At 38.8% G+C, this 24025-nt stretch overlaps 1 protein-coding gene across 10 annotated transcripts in view; it reads right to left on the bottom strand.

Moving 5' to 3' along the window:
- Window positions 1-24025, bottom strand: part of GPSM2 (G protein signaling modulator 2) — a 57561-nt gene that overhangs the window by 6673 nt on the left and 26863 nt on the right. For 9 of the 10 annotated variants that reach the window (XM_047418723.1, XM_011541302.4, XM_047418724.1 and 6 more), the window contains 5 exons: window positions 23619-23748; window positions 13465-13535; window positions 9084-9260; window positions 5297-5456; window positions 3659-3873 (listed from right to left, as the gene is read on the bottom strand). In XM_047418723.1, the coding sequence (XP_047274679.1) occupies window positions 3659-3873; window positions 5297-5456; window positions 9084-9260; window positions 13465-13535; window positions 23619-23748 (753 nt within the window). Of the gene's footprint in view, window positions 1-3658; window positions 3874-5296; window positions 5457-9083; window positions 9261-9294; window positions 9498-13464; window positions 13536-23618; window positions 23749-24025 lie in introns of those variants that run through there. The other variant, XM_011541303.4, reaches the window with a different exon arrangement.

The following is a 24025-nucleotide window of genomic DNA, read 5'->3' as shown; positions in this document are numbered from 1 at the left end:
TCCCACCTCAGCCTCCTGTGTAGCTGGGACTACAGGTGTGTGCCATTAATTTAAAAAAATTTTTTTATAGAGATGGGGTCTCACTATGCTGCCCAGTCTAGTCTTGAACTCCTGGGCTCAAGCAATCCTCCCACCTTGGCCTCCCAAAGTGCTGGGATTACAGGTATAAGCCACCACATGCTCCTCTTGAGTTTTATAGTTTTAGTTCTGATGCTTAGGTCTTTGGCCCACTTTGAGTTTTGCATATGGTATTAGGTAAGGGTCCAACTTCATTCTTTTTGTATGTGGCTCTCTAGTTTACCCAGAACCATTTGTTGATAAAACTGTCTTTTCCCCCACTGAATGGTCTTGGCACCCCTGTTGCATATTATTTGACCACACATGCAAGGGTTTATTTCTGGGATCTGTATTCTATTCCATTGGTCTATATGTCTGTCTTTTATGCCAGTACTGCACTGCTTTGATTAATGTAGCTTTGTAATAACCTGAAATAAAAAAATGTGAGCCCTAAAGCTTTATTCTCAAGACTATTTCGGATATTTGGGGATCCCTTGAGGTTCTATATGAATTTTAGGCTATATTTTCTATTTCTGTAGGAGGAAAAAGTCATTTGGATTTTTACAGGGATTGCACTGAATTTGTAGGTCACTTTGGATAGTATCGAAATGTTAACATTATTAAGTCTTCTAATCCATGAACATGGGATATTGTTCCATTTGTTTTCTTTCATCTCTTTCAGCAATGTTTTGTGGTTTTCATTATACAAGTCTTTGCCTCAGTGATTAATTTCTAAGTATTTTATTCTTTTTGATGCTATTTTAAATGGAATTTTAAATTTCTTTTCCAATTGTTCATTGTTAGTGTATAAACACACAACTGATTTTTGTGTTGATTTTGTATCATGCTACTTTGTTGAACTTGTTGATTACCTCTGTCAATTTTATTGATACTTTGTCCTTTCCAATGTGAATGCCTTTTTTTCTTTTTTTGCCTAATTGCTCCAGCTAGAATTTCTAGTACTACATTGAATAGAAGTGGCAAAAACCTGCATTCTGATCTCGTTCCTGATCTTGGAGGAGAGCTTTCAGTCTGTCACCATTGAGTATGATGTCAGCGGTACATGTTTCATATATGGCTTTTATTATGTTCTGGTAGTTTCCTACTGTTGCTAATTTTTAAGTTTTTATCATGAAAGAGTTTTGAATTGTCATTTTTTTCCTGTATGTGTTTTTTCCCTTTATTCTGTTTATATTATGTGTTACACTGATTGATTTTCACATGTTGAACAATCAGTCCTTGCGTCCTGGGAATAAGTCCCACTTGGTCATGGTGTAAAATCCTTTACAGCAGGGGCGCTGCTAAATTTGGATTGTAGGCTTTTGTTGATTTTGCATCTGGATTCATGAAGGATATTGGTCAGTACTTTTCTTGTAGTGTCTGTCTGGCTTTGGTATTGGCAATACTGGCCTCACAGAATGAGTTATGAAGTGTTCATTTCTTTATTTTCCTTCTTACAGCCTAGATTCTTAAGTCCATTATTAAAATCACTTCCTGGCACATGTCTTCAACTACCATTCTCTCCCCTGAATCCCATTCTCCTGGAAAAATAGCAGTCTTGATTTATCTCTGTGCCTCAAGCAGCTGGCCATGACTGGATAAAATACACAATTGCACTCACTAGTTTTACTTCCAGTGACTGAACCTCAGGTGGGTTCTTAGCACAGCACAGTGTTCTTAATACTTTCCCCCTAGTTTCAGTTTCTCTAAGTCAACTATTTCCCACTTCCTTTCTCTTCAAATTTATAGTGCTCCCCAACTCCAATCTTAACTGATGACTACTTCTTTCTTTGGTGAGAAAATAAAAGCAGCCCGAGAGAATTCCTACTTGCTCCCATCTCCAAATCCGTACTCTGCTTTCCCTCTCTCACCTACACAAAAACTGTGTTCTTCAGTTACCCCAGACTTACCTACATCACTGACTCTTCTCTACTTGACCATTTCCATCTGTAGATAAACTACGTTTTCACCCCCAAAAAGAAAAAAAAAAACCCCACATTTGCCTTGTATTTATTTTCTAGCTAATGGTCCATTTAACCCATTAAAGTTTCTATATTTACTATCTCCCCTTTCACACTTCCCATTTTCTCACCCCACTCAATCCTTTGTCCCCACCATGCCACTGGAACAGTATCTTTCAAAATTATTCATAATCTCCATGTTATCAAATCTAGTAGTTCCGTCATCATCTGACTCAGGTTCTTAGCAACATTTGCCACAGTTGAGCACTGCTTAAGATACACTCTTTACTTGATTTCCACCACACCACACCCCACCCCTCCCCAGCCCACCCTTGGGGTATCCTTCCAACTCTCTGGCTGTTGCTTCTTTGCCAGCTCATCTTCCTCCATCTAACCAGTAGATTTTGAAATGCTCAGGGCTTAGTCTTCCTGTCCTATTCTTTAGGTACTTTCTTCCCAGGGCTTTAATACCAGCTATAAGCTGATGTCTCCCAAATTTACTTCTCCCTTGGGCTCCAGATTTTACATCAAATTGCCTATTTAACACCTCTACTTCATTGTCTATACCAGTCACACTTGCCATTCCTTGAACTGGCTAACAGTTTACCAAATTTAACATGTCTAAAACAGAACTCTTGCTTTTTCTCTCCAAACTTGCTTTTCTTCTAGTCATCTCCATTTCAGTGAATAGAACCATTCATTTCCCAGTTATTCAAGGTATAAGTCATCCTTGATTCTCTTTCCCTGAAACCCTCTACTCAATTTATTAAGAGGTCCTGCCAACTAACCATAATATATAACTGATATAATAGCTAATAATGTAGCCCTATGCTAACTACTTCTCACTGTTACCACTCTAGTCCATATCACCAATATTTTTTGCCTGCATCACCATACAATCTTTCTAGCTGGTTTTCATACTAACACCCTTGCCACTCTACGTTCTTCCATCAGTAGCCAGGATCCTCTTTGAGGACACTCCCAGTACCTTCCTAATACATCTAAAACACGACTTTATCATGGCCTCCAAAAGCCTAGATGATCTAGGCCCTGATTACTTCTCCATCCTCATTTTGTACAACTCTTCCCTTCCCCTACTCATCCCATGCCAGTCACATCTGCCACTCCTTGAACTGGCTAAGCTTTTATATCCAAGAGGGGACTTGCTGTCTCTGCATGGAATACTCTTTCTCTAGATACTCACATGGCTGACTGCTTCACTGCATTCAGGTCTCTGTTCAAATGACAATCCAGAAAGGTCTTCTCTAACCACCCTACCTAAAACAGACACTCCCCCTACCACCAACACCTTTGCTTACCCACTACCCCTTTATCCTCCTTTAAAGTTCTTCATAGCAAGCATAATTACCTAATACAACACACATATACTCTCTCTCTATATATATACACACACACACACGTCTCTCCTAAAATGTAAGATCCTTTAAAAATCAAGTGTGTCCTCGATGCCTAGAATAGCAGCTGAAACATAATCGGTGTTCAATAATTTTTTACTGAATGATGGACAATAATAACTCTCTAATACAAAATAAGCCCTTCCTGAATGAGAATTATAACACTACCAATGTTTTCAGTGGTATCTGAGCTGTATGCAGAACGAAAAAAATATACAGACATACTTGACATTTTACAAGGATGTCAAAGAAATCTTCATCAGCCTCTTTGTTGTCATTAGTCATCAGGTGGCTAAGTACCGACTGGCTGTTTTGTGTTAGACGAAGCCCTGGCAAATTACTGAAACTAGCCCTCTGGTCATCCAGACGGCGACTCTGTGAGCTGGCAAGAAGATCTAAAAACTCATCCGTGTTGGGGGATACCACAGGAACAGATGATGCTAAGAACAGAAGAAGAAAGCCAAAGATTAAAAAAAAACAAAAAACAAAAAACAAAAAAACCTAGGCACATTTATTATATACCTAGATCTTTTCGGCCTTGCCAGTCCCAAGACCCGCCCTGCCCTCCTGCTATAGCGCTGACACTGATGGGCTTTGGCTAGATGGGTGTGGTTTTTATTGGCTGGAGGGAAGAATGAGCCCCAGAGTACTTCAGATGACCCACTTGGACGTTATTCAGATTTGACTATATTTCTCTATTTAATGCTCACTCAAAATGTAACTATAAGATATGTGACTAGATTTCAGAAATTGAACAAACTGTTTTTCTTACATAATTTCTCAGACCAGGTTGTGTAGGACAGTGTTTTTTATTCCAAGCCCTGGATACAAATCATTTAGTAAACTAACAGTTAAGTGCTGCTGGCAAGTCTTGGTCTATGGTACAAGAAGTCTTTTGGTAGCTGAAATAGAAAAATATAAGTAACCTATTTTAGTCCTTTCTAACTCAGCCAGGCCTTAGCCTCAGCCTTAGCCATATGTTTCTCTTCAGTCTGTCTTCGTTTTTCTTTTTTAATCCAGATATGAAGCATTGACGTTTTATATATAATCATAAGGTATGTATAACGACCTTTCTTCCTCATTTTTATTTTTAAAAGTTATATTTAGGCTGGGCACAGTAGCTCATGCCTGGAATACCAGCACTTTGGGAGGCTAAGGCAGGAGGATCACTTGAGGCCAGGAGCTCAAGACCAGCCTGGACAACACAGCAAGACCTCATCTCCACAAAAAATAAAAATAATTAGCCAGGCATGGTGGTGTGTGCCTGTAGTCCCAGTTACTTGGGAGGCTGAGGTAGGAGGATCACTTGAGCCCAAGAGTAGAGGACAAGGCTGCACTGACTACGATCATGGCCTGGCACTCCAGCTTGGCTAACAGCAAGATCTCGTCTCAAATAAATTAATAAAATCAGATTTTATTTTTATATATTTTTTAGACATAGGGTCTAACTATGTTGCCCATGCTGGAGTGCAGTGGCTATTCACAAACGCGATCATTGCACACTATAGTCTCAAACTCCTGACCTCAAGCGATCCTCCCACTTCAGCCTCCCAAGTAGCTGAGATTACAGGCATGCACCACCACACCTGGCTCACAGTCACATTTTCCACAACAGATTTTTCAAAGAAAACTAGGGAGGTAGTATAATATAGTTAGTAGAAAGCACATTGGACTAAAAACACAGATATACGTAAGGGAACTGAAAAAACCTTGTTTGAACTGTATAAATAACAGCATTTCAGATATACCTGAATTCAGGCTCATTTATTATATCTCTTATGATGGGAATTCAATTCTCAGAAATAAGCCACAAGAATATCAAAGAGAACTATTAAAATCGGGGGAGAAACAGAGATGACTTACTTTTTAGCATCATTTTAGGGGGAGTGGAAGAAGTTGTTGTTGAAGCTGTATGGCAGTTCTTTTCTTGTAAGCAACATCTCTGATCATCCATCCTATTGCTTTGAAATCGGCTTAATAAGTCAAAGAACCCTTCATCTCCAATAGTATCTGCACTGATTTTCTAAAATATTGAGAGGAAGTCTAGTTTATTTGAATATTCCAGTATTATCTTTAGATCATCAATGAACATCATGATGCATTCAAATGCAAAAGGTAAAGGATGAGGATTAAAAATTGACATTTTGAAAAAGAATACAAGATGGCAAATATTGGTAATAAAATGTTATTTTAATCCAACAAAAAGCACTTCATTTTTTAATTCCTGTATTTCTAAGGCTAAAGAAACAGACTTAACAGAACCACTACAGATACTGAATTATGCAAACACTGGTGATACAGGCCTGTACTTCAGGCTCTACATTCAGTTCTAAACATTCTGCAGTGGAATTTAGGTACACTTATCTCTTTGTAAGAGCTAAGAAAGAAAACAAGTGTATTTTCCTACCATAGTGATTTCTAAGGTCTTTTTTTTATACTTAGATTTGAAGATCCTGAAAAAATACAAACTTCAAAAAAATATTTGTGAGGAGAGCAAGAACTATATTTATACTTCATTTGGAAGGCTTCAAAACTGAAATGATGAATATAATGTTTAATACAAGTAATTATTTTAATTTTTTCATAATGATATATTATAATAGAGGCACATATACAAAAATGTTACGGGCCTGAGGAGGAGAGAGGAACTAATTTTTAGGAGAAATAGGGAAAATTTCATAGCATGTATTTGTGTTGGCTCCTTAAGAATGAATAAGCATTTGGAGGTGAGAGATGTTTCATACTGGTTAATATGCAATCCAAAAAGTTTTTAGTATTCAACTGATTATGAACTGAAGGGCAGGGGTAGCTATAGAGGAGGGAAGAGGCCTTTGTATTCAATACTAACAAATGTAGACTTTATCCTATGTGAAATAAGATGAGCACTGGCAATAGTCAATTTTAAGCAGTTTTGTTTAGAGATAATAAATGAAGGCAGGGACATCAGTTCAGGTACCTATTGAAGCCTAGGTAAGAGAGTAAGTACTAGGCTAAGACATGGTAGCAGATTTTTTTTTTTTTTTGAGGAGTCTCGCTCTGTCATCCAGGCTGAAGTGCAGTGGTATGATCTTGACTCACTGCAACCTCTGCCTCCCAGGTTCAAGCAATTCTCCTGCCTCAGCCTCCTGAGTAGCTGGGACTACAGGTGCGTGCCACCACACCTGGCTAATTTTTGTATTTTTTATACAGTCAGGGTTTCGCCGTGTTGGCCAAGCTGGTCTCAAACTCCTGACCTCAGGTGACCTGTCTGCTTTGGCCTCCCAATGTGCTGGGGTAGCAGATATTTTTGGAAAGGGGTGAGGGTGAGAGCAGATCTGAGGGACACAGTGGATTTGATGTGGTTAGTGAAAGAGGGTATCTTGCATGACACCGGGGTTCCTGGCTTAGGGACAGAGTAAATGGTATCCCTTTAACTGGGATAAGGAAAACAGGAGTGACTGAGAGACGTTTTTAACGTGTTGAATTTGAGATTTGGGAATGATACATACATAAGCTACAGTCAAATGTGTTAATTACCAACAAAAGACTTTTTCCTAGGGGCAAAAAAGCCTAGAATTCAAAACTCTGAATGTGAAAACACATATGGCTCCTAAAGTATGGGCATTTTCAGTTGAGCTAAGTGAGCTTAGTTAAGACCCCAAACCTTGAACAAAGGCATGGCTTCCTTGAATTCCAGTCCTGCTCTAGACCTACAAAAATATCCCTGAATTTCTATATACCCCATAATTTTTCCTTTTATTAGTCATAGCTACCCCAGAAAAGCTATGTAAGAAACCACTGATAAAAATCGAGGCATTCTATAACAATACCACAGACTGGGGGGAAAGAAATCGAGACAAAAGATACTACACAAAGGTGTAGGTATAAATGAAATGCTGACAAAAGAAATCTCTAATTTAAAAAAAAAAGGCTTTTTTTTTGCAAAGGCTCTCATTGCTGGAAAAATGGATTTTATTTATTTTACTCTTTTTAAGACAGAGTCTCACTCTGTCACCCAGGCTGGAGTACAGTGGCGCGATCTCGGCTCGCTGCAACCTCCACCTCCCAGGTTGAAGCAATTCTCCTGCCTCAGCCTCCCGAGTAGCTGGAATTACAGGCATGTGCCAACACGCCCAGCTAATTTTTGTATTTTTAGTAGATACGGGGTTTCGCTATGTTGGCCAGGTTGGTCTTGAACTCCTGACTTCAAGTGATCCGCCTGCCTTGGCCTCCCGAAGTGCTGGGATTACAGGTATGAGCCACTGCGCCCAGCCAATTTTATTTTATTTTTTTTGAGATGGGGTCTCACTCTGTCACCCAGGTTGGAGTGCAGTGGCGCAATCTCAGCTCACTGCAACCTCTGCCTCCCAGGCTCAAGCAGTCCTCCCACCCCAGTCTCCTGAGTAGCTGGGACCACAGGTGTGTGCCACCACACCCAGGTTATTTTTTGTATTTTTGGTAGAGACAGGGTTTTACCACATTGGCTAGGCTGATTTCAAACTCCTAAATTCAGGAGATCTACCCACCTTTGCCTCCCAAAGTGCTGGGATTACAGGCATGAGCCACTGCACCCGGCAGATAAATGGATTTGATAATATGAAGTACCTTCTTTGTAATGTACTTTGATCCTTTTACCAGATTATGGGGTAGCTGGATTCGAGATTTCCCTGATACTGATTATCAGTAAACCCACGGTATTTTTATTTCTAAATAAATTAAATAAACTGATTGTTATGATCATTTTTCTCTTTTTTTTGAGACAGGGTCTTGCTCTGTTGCCCAGGCTGGAGTGTAGTGGCATGATCTCAGCTCACTGCAACCTCCACCTCCTAGGCTCTGGGACCATAGGCATATACCACCATACCTGGCTAACTTTTTATTTTTTGGTAGAGACAGAGTTTCACCATGTTGCCCAGGCTCATTTTTCATCAAAAGTTTGTAATTCTATCATTGTAGTTTCAATAATGTGATTAATACAAGTAGATGCTAACAGACACTTTTCATTCTAAATTAATATTTAGAAATCCTTGAGCATCTGAATTTAATTTGTTCTGCCTTCTGAGCTGAGTAGAGGGTGGTTTTACTGGGAGACAATGCAGTGAAATAACTGGTAGTATTTTTGCAAACAATAGTGACTCAAATAAATAATTATTGGCCAGGCGCAGTGCCTCACACCTGTAATCCCAGCACTTTGGGAGGCCAAGGCAGGCAAATCATTTGAGTTCAGGAGTTTGACACCAGCCTGGCCAACGTGGTGAAACCCCGTCTCTACTGAAAATACAAAAATTAGCCGGGCATGGTGGTGTGCACCTGTAATCGCAGCTACTCGGGAGGCTGAGGCAGGAGAATCGCTTGAACCCGGGAGGCAGAGGTCACAGTGAGCTGAGATTGCGCCACTGAACTCCAGCCTGGGTGACAGAGCAAGATTCCATCTCGAGAAAAAAAAAAGAAAAAGAAATAATTACTGTCCAATACAAGGAAGCAACTTATCTACTAAGACAGTAATTACCATTTCTAATTTTGAAGAAGATAGAAAAGATAGGGAAATATGAATACAAAGATATTTTATATTAAATGTCTAATTTAAATTACTAAAAATTCAGCATGAATACAAGAAAACCCAAATGTCGGTACTCAAAACACAATACTCAAAAACTTAGTTTAAACGTACCCTCTGAGAATTTGGAATTCGGTGGTCAATAGAATTACTGGCATCTTGGAGAACTTTAGTGGAGGAATTCGTTTTGTATTTTTTCCCCTTCAGTCTGTTGACAAAGAGTAGCTTTGCAGAAGGTTTGGCAATAAGAGGTTTTTGCTTAGCAAGAATTTCACTGTTCCAGTTCTGTACCTACAAAATTATAAATGGAAGGCAGGTGAATAAACACCCCCAAATCCCCAGCTCTCTTCTGGTTTCCCATAATATTAACCTGACGTACTCACTTATTTACTATTGGGGGAGAGAGGAAGAATTTTAGATCTCTTTAAAAATATCCTTTTTAGTATATTGCACTATTTTCAAGACTTGTACCAAATGCATACTGTGGATTCTCATTATCAAAACATTAAAATGCTGGTTTTTAAGAACCTACGAATAAGAAAGCAAGGTTTACCAAAACTCTGTAAAAATAAAATATGAATGGTCAGAGAAGGAGCCAAAGTTTTACTCTAGACGTGAGTTACTTAAAAATCTGTTACAACTGGAATTTTTGGATGTATGTAGAATTTTTAAACATAAAAATTAATATATAAAACATAGTAATTTTAAAAAATAAAACGGTACTGTTTTTACTAATACCATACTAAATTCTCAATAGGCGAAACCAATTTATAAAGGTCTAGATCTGGTTTAAATACATGACAGCCTACAAATAACAAAATAACATTTATTGAGTACAGTGGAAAAATATGCACTACATACAATAGCTCTGACATTTGCAGCTTTAACATTCAGTCTTAAATGTTTACAAGTAAGTCTAAAGGTTCATGCTATGTAATAATTTTAGTGACACACATTTTTTCGTAGGTAAAATTACAGTCAAATGCACAGATTTTAAGTCTATGATTGGAAGCCATATAAACCCTACTCCAATCAATACAAAGAACATTTCCACCAATCCAGAAAAGTGCCCCATGAGACACAAATTGAAATAAATGTACAGGGGAGTGAGACATGTAGCTAGGGATGGTGGCTCACACTTGTAATCCCAGCTACTCAGGAGGCTGAGGCACAAGGATTGCTTGAGCCCAGGAATTTGAGGATTGCTTGAGCCTGGACAACATAGTGAGAACTCATTTATATATATATATATATATATATATATATATATATATATATATATATATATATATGTGTGTGTGTGTGTGTATACATTTGTTGCTTTTTTTAAATTTTTTTGAGACGGAGTCTCACTCTGTTGCCAGGCTGGAGTGCAGTGGCACGATCTCGGCTCACTGCAACCTCCGCCTCCCAGGTTCAAATGATTCTCCTGCCTCAGCCTCCTGAGTAGCTGAGACTACAGGTGCCCACCACCATGCCCGGCTAATTTTTTGTATTTTTAGTAGAGACGGGGTTTCACCATGTTGGCCAGGATGGTCTCGATCTCTTGACCTCGTGATCCACCCGCCTCGGCCTCCCAAAGTGCTGAGATTACAGGCGTGAGCCACTGCGCCCGGCCTTGTTGCTGTTTTTAAAACATGTAGCTAGTAAGTGAACCAAGCCATCGATTCCTTTTCACATACAGGTTATAAGGGGAAATTATTTACTACAGTGGATTTCGTGGTCTATTGTTTAGAGAAAAGGAAAATGGTCCTTGATGTGAGAACATAAAACTGCACCCAAAACCCAAGAAGAAAAATTAAAAATGTTCCTTATATATTTATTTGAACTTCTCAACAATACTGAAAACAAGAATACAGGGCGAAGCAATGTCTTAAAAACTGTGAAGAAAAATTATTTCTAACCAAGAATTCTAAAGTCAGCAAAATTATCAAATGTGAGGTTAGTAAAGACATTTTCACATATCCAAGTTCAGGCATCCAAGTCTCAAAAGTTCCCTCCCACTGCACACTCTCCCAGGAAGCCTCTTAACCTAGAAGTCTCCCTTTTTCCTTATGTATGCTTCTTTACTATGTTGAGAATAATGAAATAATGAATTCTTTGACAGCTTTATTATGAGGAAAAGAAACCAATACAAAGAACTAATTACACTTAAACATATTTTACATTAAGGATAGAATTTTATCACTTGGCTCTTGGAGAATTACAAGGTTGAATCTGGTCAGCTTCTTACATAACACTGTTAGTACCACTACATAGGTAGGCAGAAGAAAGCAAATTAATTTTGCTACTTATTAGTATGTTCCTAAAAGAAGAAAGTAGACAAAAATGGCCTTTTTAAAAGCTTTTAAAAATAATTTGTGGATTTAACAAATTTATATTTGAGAACCACTCACAGAGAAGAGCTGGACATTTGGGAAAATCACAAAGTCCTTTAAAAATTACTAGAGTTTCCAAATAACTCTGTGAATGGCTGGAATAAAAATATTTTGGATATGATTCTCACACAATTAGATTTTGGTTTTTTGAAGACTATTCACACATAAACTATCACTATTGAAAAATCATATGTTATTGTTATAATGATAGGGCAGAAGAATATTTAATGACATGGAAAGATGTTCCTTTTTCTTTTTTTTTTTTCAGAGACAGGGTCTCACTCTGTCACCCAGGCTAGAGTGCAGTGCCACAATCATGGCTTATTGCAACCTCTGCATCCCAGGCTCAAACGATACTCCTGCCTCAGCCTCCCAGGTAGCTGGGACTACAGGCATGGCATGTGACACCAGGCCCAGCTAATTTTTCTATCTTTTTTTTTTTTTTTTGTATAGACAGGTTTTTGCCATGTTGCCCAGGCTGGTCTCAAACTCTGGGGTTCAAGTGATCTGCCTGCCTCAGCCTCCCAAAGTGCTGGGATTACAGGCATGAGCCACTGCGTCCAGCTGGAAAGATGTTCTTGATAGATCACCACATATTAGAAAATAGTGTCTATAATATCCATATGAAAATGCCAGATGAATAGATGCCAAAATAACTGCAGTTACCATCAGGAGGCAGAATTACTGATTATCTTGATTTCTGTGTTCAGATTTTCTAAAGTTGCTGTAATGAAGGTATTTTATAAAAGCATTTTTAAAAATATACCACAGTGGCTAAATAAAATAAGTAAAATAAAGAAAGGCCAGGAGCAGTGGCTCACGCCTGTAATCCCAGCACTTTGGGAGGCAGAGGTGGGCGGAACACGAGGTCAGGAGATCGAGACCATCGTGGCCAACACGGTGAAACCCTGTCTTTACTAAAAATACAAACATTAGCTGGGTGTGGTGGTGCCCGCCTGCAGTCCCAGCTACCCGGGAGGCTGAGGCAGGAGAATCGCATGAACCTGGGAGGTGGAGGGTGCAGTGAGCTGAGATCGCGCCACTGCACTCCAGCCTGGCCAAAGAGCGAGACTCCGTCTCAAAAAAAACAAAAAAGAAAAAAAAGAAATAAAAATATACATAAAAGAATGAGAACCTATTTTTTTTTTTTTTTTTTTGAGACAAGTCTCGCTCTGTTGCCAGGCTGGAGTACAGTGGCGCGATCTCAGCTCACTGCAACCTCCGCCTCCCAGGTTCAAGCGATTCTCCTGCCTCAGCCTCCCGAGTAGCTGGGACTATAGGCGGACACCACCACACCCAGCTAATTTTTGTATTTTTAGTAAAGACAGGGTTTCACCATGTTGGCCAGGATGGTCTCGATCTCCTGACCTCGTGATCCACCCACCTCGGCCTCCCAAAGTGCTGGGATTACAGGCGCGAGCCACCGTGCCCGGCCGAGAGCCTATTTTGACAATGTAATTATTCAGTTCAAAGGAAACGGAAAAAAGTAGCCTTGATGTTTTCTTCAATAACCTGTTTCTAATTATGAAGTCCCTTCCCTTTTACTGTGCACCCCTCTCCTGCAAGAAAAAGCCTAGGGAAGATGTATCTTCAATACAAAGTACTTGTTAAAAAAAAATGCTTTTCAAGAATGCAGCCAGAAAAACAACTCTCCTCTTGATCATAAATTTCATTTATCTTGGCAATAATGTTGCTATGTAGTTGGGGAAAAAAGCTTGTCCTTTTGATCTTCCTGATCTTCTATTAATTAAAAGTAATACATTTGCATAGTAAATGATTCAAACAGTTCAAACTGGTATATAAAGTATTTCTAGCCTAACCCAGACACTCAGTCCTCTTCCCAGAAGAAATCATTGTTAGCCCGTTTCTTATATCTTATTCCAGAATGTTTTAGGAATCTACAAAGGAAATATATGCATGTATTTTTCTTAAACAGATGGCAGCATACGGTACTCATTCTTTTTGCACTATACTTTTTCTGACTTTTTTTTTACAGGCAAATTTTAAAGTGATACCTATATAGGGCAAGCCTTATTTAAATTATTTCATTAAATTAAAAATTACTAAAACATTTTATAATAGTTCATGAAATTTAAAACATAAAACCTGCCACCCACCTTTTCTGGTGTTAACTTCATAAGTTCCATATTTTCCATACTATGCCGGCGTCCCAACTTGGGGCGTACACCTTTGTTTAAAAAAAATTAATTCAAATAAACCAGGGAGCCCTTAAGAGTACAAGTTCAGCATCATTACATTATTCAGTTCTAAAATCTGATACACAAACCCATATGAAACGAGAAAACCTGTACAAATATGTATTCTTCCAAGAATAATAATTTTCTATACCAGCTACACAAAAATAGAATATACATTCCCCTCTAAAATGCTTTGATGTAAGGAAGTTACATTTTGGTTGGAAACTAACACTGGTTACTACATTACCCCTTAATTTGAAAAAGGCATTTTATAACAACTGGTTTTATACTATCCACACAGTTTCAAAAATAACAATCTGTAGAGCAGTTTATTCCTTATAACAGAAGGAAAAGGCTGTAGGCCTTCAATTGCGTGAAAAGAATCAAAATAGCATCCCCACTACTATGCTGTTACTCTTTTCTAGGTTACCCCTTTCTATTTTAAGATCTCATTAGATGACAGACTTACTGCCAGTCAGAAAACAAGTAAACGAGTCCTTAAACTTTTTTCAATAAAGTTATTAAATACAGAGAATTTCCATATCCATTCAATGTTTTAAAATATTAGGCAATATTTTAAAAGGCATAAGAAATACCTAATACCCAGCTTAAAAAAAGAAACATTACAAACACATTAAACTCCCCTTGTATAACTCCCCTCATAATTTCCCTTGTCTTCCCTGCGCTTTTATGCATTTTCATTACAAATGTATGTATTTCTTAGCAATACAGCATGTGCTATATTGCTTTTGAAACTATATTGGTTTTAGAGCTATATTGGTTTTGAAACATTTATAAATGGTATCATACTGTATGTATTCTGCAACCATCTTTGAGAAACCTTATGTTTGTGAGATTCATCCAAGTTGCCATGTATACCTTAATTCATTTTCATTGCTGTTTTTGGCAAAGGCTTTTTTATAATAACTGGTTTATACTATCCACACAGTCTCAAAAATAACAGACTGTAGAGTGGACTAGGAAATCATCCATTTTATTAGTGACAGATATTTGGGTTGCTTCCAATTTTTTTGCTATGATAAGCACACTACAGATATTCTTGGAAACGTCTCTCAGTGTACATGAACAAGCATTTCTTCTAGTTTGGTGGGTATCAGCAGTATATAACTGGGAGCACAACAGGAGTGAAACAGCTGGATCATCCAGTTGGCGCATCTTTAACTTCACCAGAATGTTGCTGGATTGTACTTCAGGGTATACCAATTTCTATCCCATCAATACCACACAAGAGTTTCCATTACCCTGCATCATTTGAATACTGGTAGTAATTTTTGTTTACCTCATAAGTTTCTACCAGTACTCCACTGTGATGTTTGCTGATGAGATGAAGTTAAATATCTTCTCATATATTTATGGGCTATTTGTGTACTGTTCATCACTTTTGCCCCCCGCCCCGTGTCCCCCCCACCCTTTTTTTTTTTTAAAGTAGAGACAGGGTTTCACCATGTTGGCCAGGCTGGTCTCGAACTCCTGACCTCAAGTGATCTGCCCACCTCAACTCCCAAAGTGTTGGGATTACTTGTGTGAGCCACCATGCCTGGCCGGCCCCCGATCTCTTTTTTTGAGAAGAGGTCTTGCTCTGTTGCCCAGGCTGGAGTGCAGTGGCGCAATCACAGCTCACTGCAGCTTAGGTGACCTCTTGGGCTCAAAGCGATCCTCCCACCTCAGCCTACCAAGTAGCTGGGGCTATAGGCATGCAACACCATGTCCATTTTTTTTTTTTTTTTTTATACAGACAGGGGTCCTATGTTGCCCAGGCTGGTCTTGACTGCTGGATGCAAGCGATCCTCCTGCCTCAACCTCCCAAAGTGCTGGGATTACAGGTGTGAGCCACTGCACCTCTCCTGCATCATCACTATTACTGCTCTAAATCTGTCTTTCACATTGAAATCCTTAATCCATCAATAATTCATTTTTATGTGAGATTATTTTCCATATATGTGAGGAATATAGGCTCTCTACTCGATTCCACTGGTCTATTTGTCTTTATGCCAACAGCACACTGTCTTATTACTTATATCTGTAAAGAAAGCACTTTTCATATTCTTAGGAATGTTTTGGTATTTCTCAGAACTTTTTTGTTTCATATAAACTTATGAATAACTTCATGAAGTTCCACAAAATAATTGTGATGTGTTTGGCAGTGCACTTAATTTTTATCAATTTGAGAAGAACTGAAATCTTTTATAAAATTTTGTCAGCCGGGCACGGTGGTGCATGCCTGTAATCCCAGCACTTTGGGAGACTGAGGTGGGCAGATCCCTTGAACTCATAAGTTCGAGACTAGCCTGGGCAACATGGCAAAACCCCATATCTGCAAAAAAATATAAAAATCAGCCAGACATGGTGGCATGTGCCTTATAGTCCCAGCTACTCAGGAGGCTGAGGTGGGCAGATTGCTTGAGCCTGGGAGGTAGAGGCTGCAGTAAGCTGAGATGACTCCACTGCAGTTCCGCCTGGTGACAGAGTAAGAGCCTGTCTTTAAAAAAAAAAAAAAAAAAAAAAAATTGTCTTCCCACTTGAGTATGGTTTATCACCCATCAATTACTAAGAGATATGTATTAAAATTTCCCGTTATGATTGTAGATTTTCCTATTTCTTTGGTCAATTTTGCTTTATGTACGTTGAGGCCTTGTTATAAACACCTATTAAGCCCAGACACATTTAATGCATTCATCTTCCTGGTGAATTGAACTGTTAATCACTGGTAAGTACCACCGTAAAGTGACCTTCTTCATTTACTTTGGTTTTTGTTTGTTTGCTTGTGTTTTTGTTTTTCTGAGATGGAGTTTCGCTGTGTTGCCCAGGCTAGAGTGCAGTGGCGTGATCTCGGCTCACTGCAACCTCCACCTCCTGGGTTCAAGACATTCTTCCACCTCAGCCTCCTGAGTAGATGGGATTACAGGGCCCTGCACCACCCCCAGCTAATGTCTGTATTTTTAGTAGAGACGGGGTCTCACCATGTTGGCCAGGCTGATCTTGAACTTCTGATCTCAAGTGATCCACCAGCCTCGGCATCCCAAAGTGCTGGGATTACAGGCGTGACCTACCACACTCAGCCGACCTTCTTCATTTCTAGTAAGACCCTTTGCCTTAAAGTACATTTTATCTATTAACATAGCTATACTGACTGTCTTTTGGTTAGTTTTTGCATGATGAATCTTCTATTCTTTTACTTTCAGGTTTATTATATCCTTATATTAGATATTTCTCTTGCAAGTAGTGTGTAGTTGGATTTTATTCTTTCTCCAATCTGCTACTGTGTCTTATAAATGGAATATTTTCATTTAATAGTTCTAATGAAATAGAACTATTTCATTAGTTCTATATGAAATAGATTTAATAGATTTGGATATTTGGGTGATTTTCTCTTTACTATGTTCATTAGTGAATTACATTAATTGATTTTCTAATGTTGAATCCACTTGAATTTTTTTTTTTTTTGAGACGGAGTCTCTCTCTGTCGCCCAGGCTGGAGTGCAGTGGTGCTATCTCGGCTCACTGCAACCTCTGCCTCCTAGGTTCAAGTGATTCTCCTGCCTCAGCCTCCTGAGTAGCTGGGATTCCAGGCACACACCACCACCCCTGGCTAATTTTTGTATTTTTGGTAGAGACGGGGTTTCACCACGTTGGTCAGGCTGGTCTCGAACTCCTGACCTCATGATCCGCCCGCCTCAGCCTCCCAAAGTGCTGGGATTACAGGGGTGAGCCACTGCGCCCGGCTCCCCGTTTGTTTTAAAATACATTACTGGATTTGCTTTGCTAATATTTTGTAAAGATTTTTATATCTTATGTTCACAAGTAAGGCTGGCCGGTAATTTACTTTTCTTGTATTGTTCTTGTCTAGTTTGGATATCAAGGTTATGGTTCTCAGAAAGATTGATAAAAGTATGTCCACTTATTCAGTTGCCTATAAAATTTTTGTGTAAGGTATTATAATTAGTTTTCTTAAGTGGCTGGTTTACCTCACTTGTACAATCATCTAGGCCAGGTATTTTCCTAGTGGGAAGATTTTAAATTACTGCTCGAATTTCTTTATAATTTTAGCCATTAGCATGCCATTCACATTACATTTTACCATTGGAACAGTTTTGGTAACTTGTTTTTCCAGAAATTGCCCATTTCTCCTAGATTTTCAAATATTTTGTCATAACGTTATTCAGAATCTCTTTTTAATCTCTGCATATTTATTATGCCCTCTTTCTGTAGACTTAGTCAAAATTAAACTAAACAATTTGGAACCAAATTTTGACTTAAAGAAAACACTGTTTTAATTTTATTAAATTCTGCTTTTTAATTTTTGCCTTCTTTCAGTGTTTTTTTTTGTTTGTTTGTTTTACTTTTTAAGCTAGATGGTATTAAGCTTTCAGCCTTTTTCCTTTTTTTTTTTTTTTTTTTTTTTTTGGAGATGGCGTCTTGCTCTGTCGCCAGGCTGGAGTGCAGTGGTGTGATCTCGGCTCACTGCAGCCTCCGCCTCCTGGGTTTAAGCAATTCTCCCGTGTCAGTCTCCTGAGTAACTGGGACTACAGGTGCATGCCACCACGCCCAGCTAATTTTTGTATTTTTAGTAGAGACAGGGTTTCACCATGTTGGCCAGGATGGTCTTGATCTCTTGACCTTGTGATCCACTCGCCTGGGCCTCCCAAAGTGCTAGGATTACAGGCGTGAGCCACCGCGCCTGGCCAGCTTTTTCCTTTTTAAATACAACATAAATTTTGCTCTAAGTACCAATGTAAGTCACATGCCACAAAATTGAAACAATATTTTTATAATTCAGTCCTAAGTTACTTTCTAACTTTAAGATTTCTTTCTCAACCTGTAAGTTACTGAGAAATGTTATGTTTTCAGATTAATGTTTTATATATTATCTTATTAATTTCTAAATTAAATGCACCGTGCTCAGAGCATGTGTGATACAGATGTGATACAAATCCTTTTAAATTTGTTGAGATTTGCTTTATTGTCAGTTTTCTGTAAATGTTTCATGAATACTTAAAAATAATGGAAATTGACCAGTTAGGTCAATATATTTCCATTAAAGCAGTGGTTTTCACTTTTAAGGTGTGACCCCATATTAAAAAATACACATATATACCTAGAACATACACAAACATACAACAAAATCTTCACACAACAGTTTTATATACATACATACACATACGTGTGTAGTTTTTTGGTTTTTCTCTATTGCCCAGGCTGGAGTGCAACAGCATGATCATGGCTTACTGCAGCTTCGACTTCCTGGGCTCAAGTGATCCTCCCACCTCAGCTTCCCGAGTAGCTGGGATCACAGGCTCATGCTACCATGCATGGCTAATTAAAAAAATTTTTTGGAGAGATGGCGGTCTCCCTGTGTGCCCAGGTCGGTCTAAACTCCTGGGCTTAAGTGATCCTCCCACCTCAGCTTCCCGAGTAGCTGGGATGACAGGCTCATGCCACCATGCACGGATAATTAAAAAATTTTTTGGAGAGATGGCGGTCTCCCTGTGTGCCCAAGTCGGTCTAAACTCCTGGGCTCAAGTGATCCTCCCAAGAGCTGGGATTACAGGCATGAGCCACTGCCCCGGCGTGTGTGTGTTTGTGTTTTGAGATGGAGTCTGGCTGTCGGCTGTGTGTGTGTGCGCGCACGTGTGTTTTGAGACGGAGTCTCTCTCTGTCGGCTGGAGTGCAGTGGCGCGATCTCGGCTCACTGCAAGCTCCGCCCCCCAGGTTCACGCCATTCTTCTGCCTCAGCCTCCCGAGTAGCTGGGACTACAGGTGCCCGCCACCACGCCCAGCTAATTTTTTAGTAGAGACACGGTTTCACCGTGTTAGCCAAGATGGTCTCGATCTCCTGACCTCGTGATCCACGTGCCTCGGCTTCCCAAAGTGCTGGGATTACAGGTGTGAGCCACCGCGCCTGGCCTCCTGTGTTTTTTTTGTTTGTTTTTGTTTTTGAGACAGAGTCTCGCTCTGTTGCCCAGGCTGGAGTGCAGTGGAGCAATCTCGGCTCACTGCAAGCTCCGCCTCCCAGGTTCACGCCATTCTCCTGCCTCAGCCTCCCGAGTAGCTGCGACTACAGGCGCCTGCCACCACGCCTGGCTAATTTTTTGTATTTTTAGTGGAGACGGGGTTTCACCACGTTAGCCAGGATGGTCTCGATCTCCTGACCTCATGATCCGCTCGCCTTGGCCTCCCAAAGTGCTGGAATTACAGGCGTGAGCCATGGCGCCCGGCCCCTGTATGTGTATTTTTAATGCTAACTGCAACTCATAAGACTCATTTTATAACTCATGAATGGGTCAGACACATAGTTTGCAAAATATTGCATTAGATGAAGCCTATTAATTGTGTTGGTCAAATCTCAACTTTATTACTGATGTCTGACTCCTGACTGATTTTTATCAATTATTGAGGTGTGTTAACATCACATTAAGACATAACTATCACATAAGACGGATTCTGGAGCCAGAGTGACTAAGCTTAACTCCCATCTCTACCACTTACTACACAGGTAACCCTGGGAAATTTACCTAACCTCTCTTGCCTCCATTTCCCCACCTGTAAATTAAGGATAACAGAAACTTAACTACTAGAATTGTTACAATTAAATGAGTTAAAACATGTAAAGCACTTAAATCAGTGCCTGGCATATCATAAGCACTCAATAAATGTTAGCTTTTTTTTTCAGTCTACCTAACATTTTTGTTATTCTCTTGTTTTCATTTCCTTGTTACTTCTGTAAACGTTCAACCACAGTCATTTTATTTTCTATATCTGATAATTCTAACATCTGAAGAACTTGATGACCTAATTTTGTTATTTTTTTCCTTACTATCTTGGCTTGTTTCTTTACATATTTGGTAATTTTTTTGTTGTGAAACGCTTATGACCTGGAATCAAGGATGCCTTTCCCCCAGAAACTATTTGGTCTTACTTCTGCTAAGTCTCTAGGAACACCTCTAACCCAAAAGTGCTTTAATGGATTAGGGTTTCTTAGACTGTGCAGATGGTATAAATCAAATTCCAAACCAGTATGTAGGGAGGCTTATGAATTCATGAATTAAGATTTTTAGCGAAGGCTCCTTTTTTCTACCTTGAGCCAACACCAGAAATAGACAAGTTTTCTTACAAATCCTTTCTCCTCACACTGGGGAGATGGCAATGAACAAAAGAGACCAAAAAACACCTGTCTTCATACAGCCAGAGTGAGCAAGAGGTGGAGTGGCAGGAAAAGAGGCTGAAGAGATAGGTTCAGATTACATAGGGCCTTTCAACCATGGTGAGGACTGAGGATTCCGTTCTAGGTGTGATGGGAACTAACTGAAGGGTTTTGAACAGAGGAACGACGTATATTCTAAAGGAGCACTCTGAGGCCAGGCATGATGGTTCATGCCTGTAATCCCAGCACTTTGAAAGGCTGAGGTGGCAGGATCACTTCAGCCTAGGAGGTCGTGCCTATAGTTCCGTCACTGCACTCCAGCCTGGGCGACAGAGCGAGATTCCATCTCAAAACCCTCCTCCCAGGTTCAAGCGATTCTCCTGCCTCAGCCTCCTGAGTAGCTGGGACTACAGGTCTGTGCCCCTGTGCCTGGCTAATTTTTGTATTTTTAGTAGAGATGGGGTTTTGCCATGTTGGCCAGGCTGGTCTCGAACTCCTGACCTCAGGTGATCCACCTGCCTCAGCCTCCTGAAGTGTTGGGGATTACAGGCGTGAGCCACTGTGCCTGGCCAAAATATTTTTTTAATTTAGAAAAAAAAAAAAAAAAAAGCACTCTGGCTCCTGTGTGGAAAAGTAAGTGTGAGAGATGCAGAATCGAAGTAAGAGAAATCATTGGTAGGCTAGGACTCTGCTGGGAGCTGTCGGTAGCTTATACTAAGATTGTTGCAGAGTACACTGTAGGAGAGATTAGGGATATATTTTGAAGGCAGGTTTCTGATAGGTTTGATGTAGAAGTGAGTGAAAGAAAGGGAACAAGGCCAGCTACTTGAGAAGCTGAGGTGGGAAGATCTCTTGAGGACAAGAGTTCGAGACCAGCTCGGGCAACAGAGTGAGATTCTGTCTTTAAAAATAAAATAAAATAAAATAAATAAATAAAAGTAGAAAGGGAACAAGTATGACCCCTAGTTTTTTGGCCTGATTAGTTGAGTGAATGGTGATACTATTTCCTGAGATAGGGTGGGGTACAGGAAGAACATGTTTAGGAGAAAACATTATGGACATGCTAAGTTTTAGATGCCAATTAGATATGGCATGACAATGGAAAATTTTAAACAAATGAGTCTCAAACTCATGAGAGAAATTTTGGCTGGAAATATAAATCTGAAAATAATCAGTATATAGACAATATAAAAGCCAAGTAACTGGATGAGATTATCTAGAGCTGTGCTGTCCAATAGCCAGTAGCCACATGCGGCTCTCTACATTTTAATTAACCAAAGTTAAGTAATATTAAAAATTCACTCCCTCTTGTAGTAGCCACATTTCTAGTGATCAACAGCCACATGTAGCTAGTGGCTTTTACATTGGATGGCAGATGTAAAACGTTTTTATCATCACAGAAAAGTTCTATTGGAAGCACTGACTTAAAGCACAGAATAGAAGGAAAAAGGATAAAATCAGTAAGAAGGAAGGAGAGAGAGATGGAAAATAGGGAGGGAAAGAAGGTAGGAAGAAGAGGTCCAAGAACTGAACCCTGAGCACTACAAACGTAGAGGAAAGATGAAGAAGAGGAGAGAAGAGAATAAAGACGAGAGTGGCAAACCAGAAAAGCAGAGTAATCCTGGAGGCCAAATGAAGAAAGTTTTCTCAGAAGGGAATGATTGGCTATAGGAAATATTGCTGAGAAAAATCAAGTAAGCTGACATGTGAAAACTGAATGATATATTTGGTAAAATGGAGGTCTCAGAGACATGGTGAGGGCAAAGCCCAACGGGAATGGGTTGAAGAGAGAAAGGGAGGCAAGGAAGTAAAGACAATGAATATTAGTGTCTTTTCAGGTTTTGTTATAAGAGCGAACAAAGGAACAGGTCTACAGCTAGAAGGGTCTATGAAGACAAGCGACTGTTTGTTTTTGCTTTTTAAAGATGAGAGCTCTTAACGGCATAACCTATTTGAAAGTTCAGCACAGAAAAACGTCTTAGCCCATCATTCAACCACAAAGCACGCAGTCACAAATTATTATACGGTTCACACTTCAGAACTTTTCACTAAATGTTCTTTGAAAATCTAAATCAGATGACTAGCCACTAATTTCTTTTCCTGAGTTTAAAGAAAAAAATTGGAAAAAGTAAAGGTAGATTTATCACTGACTTTAAAATTCAAAATATTTGTCAGTAGTTTTTTTTAGACTGAGAATTTCTCAAGCTTAGGAAAATGATCTCATATAGAATCACATACTGATGAAATTTAAAAATGTGATCCTAATCTTATCCCTTTTATTTCTTTAAAAGTAGATTTTCTTTCACTCAAAAAGAGACATTATAGCAAATTTCCTCGCTATAGAAATGTCAAACAAATCGGCACCTAAGGAAGGTGTCCTAAAGATAGGTTTTGCCACCAAAAAAAAAGAAAGAAAAATAAAGAGAGTATCTTAGATTTTCTGAATTTAAAAAAGTCCTAAGAAAATTCACCTTGGAAATGAAATGGGGGAAAAAGAACTAAACAGAAAACAGATACGTAAAACGATATGAGATAAAAAGGATAAACAATAACATTTTAAAATTTTGGCACCTTCACATTTACAAATTTTTGAATGAGCTTAGAGATAGAGAATTTAAATGTATTTTTACAAAAGAAAAGAACAATACCATCACCATTCCTAAGTTCATGGTAAAAACTATAAAATATTGTTTTACACTTATAAATTATATATTATAATTATATATATATTATATACAAAATATATAATTGTAATATATATTTACAAACAGAGCTGTGTACAGCAAAAAAGTGTAATAAGTTGAACTTCCCATGTTATATATTCTCTCTGAATATGCCAAATTTGTGATAAATAACTTTAATCTAAATATTGAGGATAAAAAAATTGGGTTTTAAAAGTCCTATTACTTACCATTCAAACTGCTATCAATTTCAGTATTTTCAGACATTATGGAGTTATTTGTGCTGTAGCTCAGACCAAGAACCATTTGAAGGTCTGAGAGATTAAGTCGTGCTGTTAGTTCACCACTTTTATCCCCAACCTACAACACAAACATTTATATTTTAGAGTAGTATTTAAAGAGAAAGAATGGTGAAGATTATTTGTAAATGTAGTGAACCTAAAACTAGAAGAAAATATAGAGAAATGAAAATAGTTATATTAGAATTATGAGACTATGAATGAATGAAAATTTTTTTCCATTAATAGTTGTCTTAAAGAATACAGAAAGAAAAAGCAAGCTTCTAAAATATCACAATAGGACAGCTAATTGTATTCTTTTAATTCTTTAGTTCTCTAAACATTAGATTGCTCTTGTT

The sequence above is a fragment of the Homo sapiens genome, chromosome 1 (genome assembly GCF_000001405.40).
Source record: "Homo sapiens chromosome 1, GRCh38.p14 Primary Assembly".
NCBI lineage: Eukaryota > Metazoa > Chordata > Mammalia > Primates > Hominidae > Homo > Homo sapiens.
This window is presented reverse-complemented; position numbering and strand designations above follow the sequence as displayed.